Source organism: Homo sapiens, chromosome 11 (assembly GCF_000001405.40).
Source record: "Homo sapiens chromosome 11, GRCh38.p14 Primary Assembly".
Lineage (NCBI taxonomy): Eukaryota > Metazoa > Chordata > Mammalia > Primates > Hominidae > Homo > Homo sapiens.
This window is the reverse complement of record NC_000011.10, coordinates 67,513,463-67,524,515: the sequence shown is the minus strand read 5'-3', so window position 1 is coordinate 67,524,515 and position 11,053 is coordinate 67,513,463. Positions and strand designations below refer to the sequence as shown.

Sequence of the window (11,053 nt, the reverse complement as noted above, 5' to 3'; positions counted from 1 at the left end):
GGAGGAAGGGACAGAAAGAAGAGTAGCAGGGACCCAGGCCACACCTGTGGCTGCCCACAAGACCACTCTCCCGCAGGACTGGGGAGGCCGGACGGAGCAGCGTCCCTCAGCCAGGAGGAGGTACCAAGCCCTCATCTCCATGGCCCAGCCCCAGGGCCCAGCAGAGGGCAGCCTCCCAACGGGGGACCCCAGCCCCTCTGAGGGCACTCCAGGAACCAGCCAGGCCCCTGGCAGCCCAGCAGCCACCCGGCGACGAGAGCTTCTCCGGGAGCTCGAGGCCCAGGTGCAGGCAGCCTACGGGCAGGTAATGCGGGCAGGGGTATGAGGGGACCAGGAACAAAGAGCAGGGACCCCACACCCCAACTGGGGGCCCCGGAGGACAGACCCAGGACTTAGTCCAGGGAGGGGACCAGGAGGCAGAGTCCAATGGGAGACTCTCTGAGGTCGGCAGGGCCGGGGTGGCTTCCCTTCCCAATCTCCACCCTCACCGAGCCCTGTCACTGCCCACAGCACATAGGCGGTTCCCTTCTGCTCCTCATCCAAGGGCGGGGCACCAGTCCAGGCAGGGGGAGCCAAGTGCAAGCAATTGGGGCTACCCCGAGGTGAGGAGCCCAGGGCCCAGCTGGGGTCCTGGCAGGGAGAGGCAGGGGCTTCCTGGGCTGAGCCAAGTGGCTGCCTCTTTCTGGGAGGCTGTGTGGGAAGGCCCGCGTGTCCATACCAACCGGAATCTGTGCCATTCGGAGGGCCCAGCCCACCCTGGCACACTGCACGCCTGCCTTCCTCCTCCTGGGACCCAGGCCCTGCTTCTGAAGACATTAAATCTCCCCTGATTGGGAGAGATTAGAGGCAGGGGTTGGGGGAGGGTGCTGGAGAAGGGGCGTCTGGAAGACCCTCAGGAGGCAGTCTGGGGAGGCTGTGCTCTCCAGGGGGCCTTGGGCCCAAGTGGCTCCCCTCAGCAGCGGAGACGCTCAAAGATAATCCCGGATTAGGACCCAAGCCCCAGGCCCAAGTCCCCCGCCTGCCCACCCGCCCCCGATCTTCCCCACAAAACCCCAGGAAAATCCCCGGCAGTACTCCCAGGCTCTCATCGGGAGCAGCTGGGGGCTGGCAGGAGTCCTCAGGCAGCAGCATCCGCCGAGGCCCACCCGGGCCACCCCCGGGGTTCCAGGCCTGGCATGGTTCAGGGCCCATGGGGAACTGTGCCAAGCGGCCCTGGCGCCGGGGCCCTAAGGTAGGAGGGGTCAGGGGAGAAACCCAGGCCAGGAGGCTGGAATGGACCCTGAGGGTCAGATGGGATGGGCAGAGCCCTCCGAGGGCCGGGCGGGGTTGGGGGCTGCCCACTGCCCCAGGTGGAGATTTTTTTCCTGGAAGCCACAGCCTCTGGCCATCCTGATCTTGGCTCCCACCGACCTCTGGGTCTCCCCTGCCAGGCTCCAGGTCCCCCAGCTGCCCGTCCAGCTGCCCCATCCCGGCTGCAGGTCCCCGCTCTCTGCTAGCCAGCCTCCATCTAGGAGACAGAGCTGGGCACAAGGTCCCTCTCTGCCGCTGGCTTTCTCAGTGGCCTTGGCCAAGTCTCTTGCCTTTTCTGGTCCTCAGTTTGCCCAACAGAACAGTTAGAGGATTGACCCTTTCTGCCTAAAGAGTTCACGGGTGAGGGTCCTCTCTCTACCCCCCAGCCCCTTCCCTACTGTCCCATGCCGGGCTCCAAAGACAGGAGCAGCTGGTGAGAGGAGTGGGGAGGGCTATCAGGCCCAGAGCTCAGCGGCCACTGCCCCAGCTCACGGCCGGCTCTGCTGCAGGACCCCTTGCAGTGGCTCGGCTCCCCACCAAGGGGCTCCTGCCCCAGCCCCAGCTCCAGCCCCAAGGAGCAGGGGGACCCCGCGCCAGGCGTCCAGGGCTACTCGGTGCTCAACAGCCTGGTGGGGCCTGCCTGCATCTTCCTGCGGCCCAGCATTGCCGCCACCCAACTCGTATGTACGGCCACCCGCCCGCCAGCCTGCCTGCCCTTGCCCCTCTCCCACCAGCTCACCTGCCCTTGCCCCTCGCACTCCAGCCCACCTACCCTTGCCCCTCGCTTTGCCTCTCCTGGAGCTAGGGGGAAGAGGATTGAGTGGGGACATCAGAGCAAAGGTACACAGATCTGGGGTGGGGGTGCAGAGAGGGGAGAGAGCAATGACTCTAGAAATGGAAGAGAGATCAACAGTGACATTGAGGCTGGCGGGACCAAGTCTGAGGTTCTGCCCAAACCCCAGATCCACCACCAGCAAAGGGAGCCCCCTGCCCCAGAAGAGGGTGATGGAGTAGGTGAGGACGGCCCAAGGAGTGACCTAGGCCAGAAGCAGGGAAGGGGGCACCCGGTTACCCAGGCCAGTGAGTAGGATGGGGTGGGAACCAGGGCCGAGCAATCAGACAGACACAGGCCCTGCGTGTGCGTGTTGGATTGTGGGGCTGGGTGGGGAGCCCCGGGAAGCAAGAAGGAAGGGCACAGTCATCAGTAGGAGCAGGGAATTCCTAACCCCTCTGTGCCCTTCAGGACCGGGAGCTGCGGCCCGAGGAGATTGAAGGTAAAGGGTTGGAGAAGGAACTGGTTCCCTGAAGGGGAGGTGGCATGGGGGGCATGGGGTGGGGACACAGGGTTGGGGGGGCATCGGGTGGGGGCCTCAGTGTTTCCAGGAGGAAGTGGGAGCAAGAAGGCTGCAGGGGACCAGTTTAGGGAAATGGGGACAAGACTGAGCAGGGAGGGGATGACAGACCCCCACCCAGCTGTCATTCCTTGGTCTCACTCACCAGGCAGGTGACAGGGCCCCTTTTATATTTGTTCATTCAGCTGACACTTCCTGGGTGCCCACTGTGTGCCTGGCCCTGGCTGAGCACTGGGAAACATGGCCAGCTAGACAGATATGGCCCGTGCCCTCTGGAGACCAACGTCAATTAGTCAGCTACAAGTACAAATGGTGCATGTGCTCTCCAGGAAAGGGACAAATGGGCCGGGGGAGGCCACATGTAGAGGGATGGCTTCCTTTAGTAGGTGACATAGGACCAAAGAGGAAGGGGAAGAGTGAGGAAATCTCCAAGAGGTCAGAATTTGTTTCCCCCACTTTCTTTCTTTCTTCCTTTTTGAAAAATTTCACTGCTGTATCCCCAGTGCCTAGAGCAGAGCTTGGCACATAGTAGATGCTCCTCAAATATTTGCTGAAAGAACAAATAACAGGAACAGCACGTGCAAAGGCCCCGAGGCAGCAAAGAGAATCTGATGTTCAGAAGGAGGGATGATTGGACCAAGGGAGAAGGGTAGGCGGGTCCAGGCCAGGATCAGGGGGTTGTGGGGGAAGGACTGACCCCACCCTGCCTGGCAGAGCTGCAGGTCGCCTTCCAGGAGTTTGACCGAGACCGGGACGGCTACATTGGCTGCCGGGAGCTGGGTGCCTGCATGCGGACCCTGGGCTACATGCCCACCGAGATGGAGCTCATCGAGATCTCACAACAAATCAGTATGTGCCTCGGACCCATCCCCATCCCCAGTCCTCCAGATGCCCCCGCTGGGCCCATGAAGCCAAGCAGTCCAGGTACACAGGTGACTGCACAGGCTGTCCCCAGAGCCCATGACCTTGGTCATTCTCAAGGCAAGCTCTCTGCCTCTGGAGAATCTCACCAGCTTCTAGGAGGTGGGCACAGCAAGGACTGTGATCCTCATTCTGCAGATGAGGCAACTGAATGGCTAAGTGACTTGTCTAAGGTCACACAGCAAGTTCCTTGGAGCCAGGACTTGAACCCAACCGAAGAGTTCAGGAAAATTAAGGAAAGTTCCAAGAAGTTTTTTGGTTTTTTTGTTTGTTTGTTTTTTGTTTTTTGTTTTTTGTTTAGATGGGGTCTTTTTCTGTCACCCAGGAGTGACAATGGCGCTATCTCGGCTCACTGCAACATCTGCCTCCTGGGTTCAAGCAATTCTCCTGCCTCAGCCTCCTGAGTAGCTGGGATTACAGGCACCTGCCACCATGCCCAGCTAATTTTTGTATTTTTAGTGGAGACGGGGTTTCACCATGTTAGTCAGGCTGGTCTCGAACTCCTGACCTCAGGTGATCCACCCGCCTCAGCCTCCCAAAGTGCTGGCATTACAGGCGTGAACCACCGTGCCCGGCCCAATAAGTTTTGAGAGTGGTTTTCCTTTCACTTTTGGCCAAATCTGTGCCTTGTTTGGAGGGCGATTCCCATTGGGAAATACAGATGACCCAGGCTTCTGGCGCAGAGGGAGGAAAGGATCCATTCACGAAGGGAAGGCAGAGGGCAGAGGAGGGAGGGCCAGGGAGGGGCAGGGGTCTCTGATGCCCTGGGTCTGTAATGGACGGGACCCCCAGGTGGCGGAAAGGTGGACTTTGAAGACTTCGTGGAGCTGATGGGCCCCAAGCTGCTGGCAGAGACGGCAGACATGATCGGTGTCCGGGAGCTACGGGACGCCTTCCGGGAGGTGCGGCCACTGGGGCTGAGGGCGGGCAGGGCTGCGTGTCTGCCGTGAGTGAGGGGCTGCGCGTGTGAATGACTGTCAGTGACCAGACGCCACAACCAACGCCGCCACAGTTCGACACCAATGGGGACGGCCGCATCAGCGTGGGCGAGCTCCGGGCGGCCCTCAAGGCCCTGCTGGGGGAGCGCCTCAGCCAGCGGGAGGTGGACGAGATCCTCCAGGACGTGGACCTCAATGGGGACGGTCTGGTCGACTTCGAAGGTACCCCCTGCCGCACATAGCAACACACGCCCTGGAAGGGTCCTAGCAGATAAGAAACCGCACAGCAAGAGTCACCACTGGGCACCAGACCCTGTGCCACGCACTCCCATGTCCTCTCCTAGTTAATTATCATGGAGAATCCGAGAGGAAGGAATTGTTATCCCCATAGGCAAGAGAAGAAAGTCCATTCTCAGGAAAGCCTAGGCACTTAGCAAAAAAGCAAGTAGATGGAGTCAAGATTTGAATCTGGGCAGCCTGATCCAGAACCCAGCTCTTCCTCTATGCTGCATTCCCATAAAGGGGTAAAATGATTAAATAATAATAGAAGCCAAGGAAAATTACTATGTGGAAATGTATTGCCATAAGTAGGCCTCAAAGTTGCTCCTGAGCTTCCTAGCTGTCAAAGCAAAAAGGAAAACAAGTTCCATTACAAGGGTTTGTTTGTTTTTCCCCCATAAGACAAAGCCTCCTCTTCCCGGCTCTGAGGCCTATTCCCTATCAGATCCAGAGGATGCCCTTGAAGACCCTCCCCTCAACCACACTCCCACCCGCCCCAAGGCCTGCAGATGATCCTCACTCCTAGCGCAGTCCAGAGAACAGACCCAAAACCTTGGCTTCGTCCTGGCAGAGTTTGTGCGAATGATGTCTCGGTGAGCCTGTACAGAAGCTGGAGGCAGCATAAAGGACTCAAGGACCACAGCCTCTGCCCACCAGCATGTTCCTTGAAGCCCATCGCCTCTAGCGGGGACCCTCCTTTCCTCCCCATCCCACCTGTGTGCAGTGCCCTTGCCTGCCTTCACCCCCACCACCACTTCTCCAATAAAGCCGCCTGGCCTTGTCTCTGTCTCTCTGACAATAAAATATCTCCAAGCCTGGGGAGATGGCTTTTGCCTCTCACTTGCTTATCCTGGAGGCTCCAGTATTTGGCCCCCAAAATCAAGTACTGGGGCTGTCCCCTTGGATCACAAGCCCCGTCCATTGTGAGCTCCAGGGAGATGGGGACCCTCTCTTATTCCTCTCTGGATCCTGGACCCAGCCCAGAGCAAGTGTCAGGAAACATCCCTAGCGAGTAAACAAAGCCTTCTTGTCCCAAGCTCAGGCGTATGTTGGCCTCCACAGTTCCTGCCGTGTATCCTGAGAACAGCTCCTGCTACCTGCATGATTACATTCGAGCGTGGAGCAAGTACTATAAGAAGACCTTTCCCAAGCTTGGTCTCACTTTTCCTGCAGTAGCCTTGGAGGCACACTGCTCAGAGCTCACTTCAAGTACACGCAGTTCAACTTAGAGAAGTGGGTGAGTTAGCAAAAGGGCTCAGCCACTGGCCCCTTCAGGAGACACCTCAGCTTTTGGGCTGACACCTCACTCATCCAGGGAGCCCCCAGCCACTAACTGAGCACAGCATGGGGAACCAGGACCTGGACATTTCTGCCTAATGCAAGGCTCCTCTAATGGGCAGTCTTTGCTCTGAGCTCCCCTTTGGGGCGGCCAAGGCAGACAGATCTGCGTGGAGTCAGAGGCTCGCCTGCCCAGTCCTGCTTCCTCCCCCTTTACCTTCCTCCCTCCCTAACTCCATCTCAGCATCTTCCTCCTGGAGGACCCCAGACACTCAAAGCATATCCCAGTCTTCAGGGCCCCATTTTCCAGATTGAAGAAATTGACAGGCTGAGTGCCCTCATCCTTTCCTGCTGCTATAACAAAATACCTTAGACTGGTATTTTATAAACAGTATGAATTTATTGCTCACAGTTATGGAGGCTGGGAAGTCCAGGGTCAAGGTGCAGGCAGTTGGGTGTCTGGAGAGGGCCAGGTCTCTGCTTCCAAGATGGTGCCTTGAGCTGCTTCCTCCAGAGGGTGCCTCACGTAGCAGAAAGGCAGGAAGCACATGAGGGCCTGGCTACTCCCCCCGCCCCACCGCCACCCCCAGCCCTTTTATAAGGCACTAATCCCATCCATAAGGGCAGAGCCCTCATGGCCCGATCGTCTTCTAAAGGCCCCACCCCTTACCGTTGCTGCACTGGGGATTGAGTTTCAACATGCATTTTGGAGGGGACACGAACATCAGAGCCACAGCACGCGGGCCAGGTGCAGTGGCTCATGCATGCAACCCCAGCACTTTGAGGCCAGGAATTTGAGACCAGCCTGGGCAACATAGCGAGACCCTATCTCTACAAAAATAAAGCAAAAATTAGCCAGGTGTGGTGGTGCATACCTGTAGTCCCAGCTACTTGGGAGGCTGAGGTGGGAGGATCACGGGAACCCAGGAGGTCAAGGCTGCAGTGAACTATATGATTGCACCACTGCACTCTAGCCTGGGCAACAGAACAAAACCCTGTCTCTAAAAAACACTTTTTTAACTAAAAATAATAATAACATAAACAATAGCACCAAGTCAAAGTGACCTGCTAGAGACTACGTGGCCTCACTGCCCTCTATCCCTACACGCGGCTAGGCTATTCTTCCTAAAATGCCACTTGCATTTTGTCACACCCCTGTTCAGGACCTCGCCATGACTTTCCATTACCCCCAGGTTAATCCAGGGCCTTTGCCTGCACAGAGGTTCCAGGAGAACACGGGAGTGGCATAAAGCCACACACAATCAGGATGAAGGGTGGTGGGACTTGCACCCAGGCCCAGGGACTCTGAAACTACAGTGCCAACTAGGGAGGGTGCCTCGGAGTCAGGACCGGCCCAGGCCAGATCTTGGCCTCTTCTAGCTATGCCGCAAGCCTCATCTGCAGCTTCTGCCTGCTGGGAGCGAACGACCCCTGACCTTCCTCATCATGAAGGGGTGAGAGTGCCCAGTGCCTGTGCCTGGTCCTCACATGGCGCCTGCCAACAAGATGGCCCTGGGACAAAGCAGGCAGGCGGCCTGGGGATGTGCGCTGCGCATTCTGGAGACTGGATGCTGAGGTGCTGGAGCTGGCTGCAGTGGCCTCAGCACCACTCTCCTGGCAGATCTCAATTAATCCTTAATCCTCAATTAGGTAATCACCTCTGCCAATCTGGCAGGACTAGGGATGTGGATAAGTTGCCCCAGCCTCAGTGGCTTCTCTGGGAGCCAGGATCCACACTCCCACCCTTCCTTCCACCACCCTCACGGCTGGTACAGATGGTATTGCTGCCTGAGAAGATGCCTGTCCCTGCTGCAGGGGCTGAGGGGTAGTGATGGCCATGAGGAAAAGGGAAATCAGAACCCTACTCAGGGTCAGCCTCCCACCACCTCCCCAGGCCTCAGCCTGGCAGGCTCTGCGGCTAGAGAACTGGGAGTGGCTGTGGGGTGGTCTGAATCAGGGCAGTGTGTCTGCTGGCAAAAGAAGTGCTCCCAGCTCCCCCAAATCTCACACACACTTCCCAACAGATAGCAACTGGAGCAGGGGATCCCTTAAGCCTGTGAGATCGAGGCTGCACTAGGCTGGGGAAGGAACAGTGGGCAGGGTTGAAACTATGGCAAGTCCAGAACCCCTGCCCCCGCTACAGGGGGCACCTGCTGCCCAACTCCTCCGATTCTTGCCAGAGCAGCCCCAAGCTATAAGATCTTCTGATTTAGGCCGGGTGCAGTGGCTCATGGCTGTAATCCCAGCACTTTGGGAGGCCGAGGCGGGTGAATCGCCTGAAGTCAGGATTTCGAGATCAGCCTGGCCAATATGGTGAAACCCCGACTCCACCAAAAATACAAACATTAGCCAGGCGTGGTGACAGGCTCCTGTAATCTCAGCTACTCGGGAGACTGAGACAGGAGAATTGCTTGAACTCGGGACACAGAGGTTTCAGTGAGCCAAGATTGTGTCAGTGAGCCAAGACTGTGTCACTGAACTCCCGCCTGGGCAACAGAGTGAGACTCCATCTCAAAATAAACAAACAAACAAACAAACAAAAGACCTATAGGTTTACAGAATGACTGTGAAGATAGCACAGAGGGTTTCCCAATACCCCACGCCCAGATTCCCCTATATATCAGTCAGGGTTCTCCAGAGAAACAGAACAATAGGATATCTTGGTAGATGATTGATGATTGATAGATAGATAGATAGATAGGTAGATAGATAGATAGGTAGATCGATCCATAGGGAGTCTTTCAATTGGCTTTGTGTCCCCATCTTTGTGTATGTTTGTTTATTTTTAGCACTTTTTATGCTTTGGCACTACAAGCTGCTCCAGGATCATCTTGTATATTTCCTGCCCCAGTCCTACTATCAGTCATTTCTCCGAGGAGCCCTGGTTCATTTTATTGGAGAATGGTATTAGACACCAAGATCTGGGGCGGGGCATGGTGCCTAATGCCTGTAATTCCTATACTTTGAGACGCCAAGGTGGGAGGATCACTTGAGTCCAGGAGTTCAAGACCAGCCTGGGCAACATAGTGAGACCCCATCTCTACAAAAAAATTTTAAAAATTAGCCAGGTGTAGTAGTGTGCGCCTGTAGTTCCAGCTACTTGGAAGGCTGAAGTGGGAAGATCACTTGTCCCTGGGTGTTCAAGGCTTCAGTGAACTAGGATAGCACCCAGTTCACCACACTGCAGCCTGGGCAACAGAGCAAAGCCCTGTCTCTCTAAAAAAACAAAAAAGTGGGGGCAGGGGCCGGGCACAGTGGCTCACACCTGTAATCCCAGGACTTTGGGAGGCCAAGGCAGGCAAATCATTTGAGGTCAGGAGCTCAAGACCAGCCTGACCAACATGGTGAAATCCCACCTCTACTAAAAATACAAAAAGAATCCCGGCGTGGTGGCGGGTGCCTATAATCCCAGCTATGCAGGAGGCACCATGCCCCACCCCAGAGCAGGAGAATGGCTTGAACCCGGGGGGCAGAGGTTGCAGTAAGCTGAAATCCCACCACTGCATTCCAGCCTGGGTGACAGAGAGAGACTTCATCTCAAAAAAAAAAAAAAGAAAGAAAAAAGAAAAGAAAAGGAAAAGAAACCAAGATCTGGGTGCTTGTTGCTAGTGGGTGTAGCAGGGAGGGGAAATTGTTTCCAGGTCTTCTCTGCTGATAACATGAGGAGATACGTGTGTGTGCATGCTATTCTGTGTATACAGACATTCATAAATATTCCTGTATGTAAGCAACTGAATCTCTATTAAGCTGTACATGAGTTCATCCTGATGCTTCCAACTCCAGCCCATTACCACATGGATCATTCTAGCCACCCCACTTGCTTATCTGTAACTTCTCATTCCAACAGTGACCCCCATCATCCATCCTCTGTTTACTTAATTGTTCAGTTCCAGCTACATGTGGAGTGATTTTGGAACTGTTAACCCATATTCCTGTGGGGTACAACTTTCTCAACGAGTGCGGTGCTTATGTGCAGTTCCTTTTGCCTTTAGTCTTACAGACTCCCTCATTTCTAGGTCAGCACCTTATTCCTTCAGCCCCTACAGTGAGGTTGTTGCACACATTTGTAATATAGCTAGTTTCTTTGGTTGCATTCTGCATTCCATCCTGGGATCCGCTGACCTCCAAGATGAATTTTTTTACATTTGCATACATTAAAGTTTACTCAGCCGGGAACCGTGGCTCACGCCTGTAATCTACTTTGGGAGGCCAAGGAAGGAGGATGGCATGAGCCCAGGAGTTGGATGCAGCAGTAAGCCATGATCACACTACCGCACTCCAGCCTGGGCAAAGAGCAAGACCCTGAATAAAAAATAAAAAATAAAAACACAGAAAGTTGGTCAGGAGTGTTGGCTCACGCCTGTAATCCCAGCACTTCGGAAGACCAAGGTGGGTGAATCACCTGAGGTCAGGAGTTCGAGACCAGCCTGGCCAACATGGTGAAACCCTATCTCTATTAAAAATACAAAAATTAGCTGGGCATGGTGGCGTGCAGTTGTAATTCCAGCTACTGGGGAGGCGGAGGCAGGAGAATCGCTTGAACCCGAGTGGCAGAAGTTGCAGTGAGCTGAGATTGTGCCACTGCACTCCTGCCTGGGTGACAGAGTGAGACTCCGTCTCAAAAAAAAACAAAAACAAAAACAAAAAGTTTCCTCATACAGAAGAGTTTCACTCCCCTATGCCTCACCTATTCAGTTTCACTCCCTCTACCCCAGGCCCCAGCAATCACAGATCAATTTCTGTATAGTTTTCCCTTTTCCAGAATGTCACAGAATTGGAATCATACAGTATGTGGCTTTTTCAGACTGGCTTCTTTCACTTAGCAAAATGCATTTAAGATTTATTGATGTCTTTTCATGGCTAGATAGGCGATTTCCTTCATTGCCCAATAATATTCCATTGTATGGATATGTCAGTTTGTTTAACCATTCACCTATTTTTTTTTTTTTGAGATGGCGTCTCACTTTGTCACCCGGGCTGGAGTGCAATGGCATG

The 11,053-nt window shown here is 55.1% G+C and overlaps 1 protein-coding gene across 2 annotated transcripts; it reads left to right on the top strand.

The window, feature by feature from the left end:
* CABP2 (calcium binding protein 2) lies at positions 1,070–5,604 on the top strand. 2 transcript variants are annotated; one of them, NM_016366.3, is made up of 7 exons: positions 1,070–1,231; positions 1,800–1,970; positions 2,534–2,564; positions 3,357–3,491; positions 4,356–4,465; positions 4,576–4,723; positions 5,352–5,604. In NM_016366.3, the coding sequence occupies exons 1-7, from the start codon at positions 1,190–1,192 to the stop codon at positions 5,375–5,377; spliced, it is 663 nt and encodes a 220-aa protein (NP_057450.2). In that variant the 5' UTR covers positions 1,070–1,189; the 3' UTR covers positions 5,378–5,604. The 2 variants fall into 2 exon arrangements, with proteins under 2 accessions (NP_057450.2, NP_001305425.1); NM_001318496.2 differs by having other exon boundaries at positions 1,800–1,974.

What these genes read in the sequence shown, in the direction of transcription:
- CABP2 (NM_001318496.2), top strand. Translation starts at nt 1,176, where the DNA reads ATGGTTCAGGGCCCATGGGGAACTGTGCCAAGCGGCCCTGGCGCCGGG. An exon ending in TGCCGCCACCCAACTCGTAT is followed by an intron (nt 1,975 to 2,533) that starts GTACGGCCACCC and finishes TGTGCCCTTCAG; the next exon opens with GACCGGGAGCTGCGGCCCGA. An exon ending in CGAGATCTCACAACAAATCA is followed by an intron (nt 3,492 to 4,355) that starts GTATGTGCCTCG and finishes CGGGACCCCCAG; the next exon opens with GTGGCGGAAAGGTGGACTTT.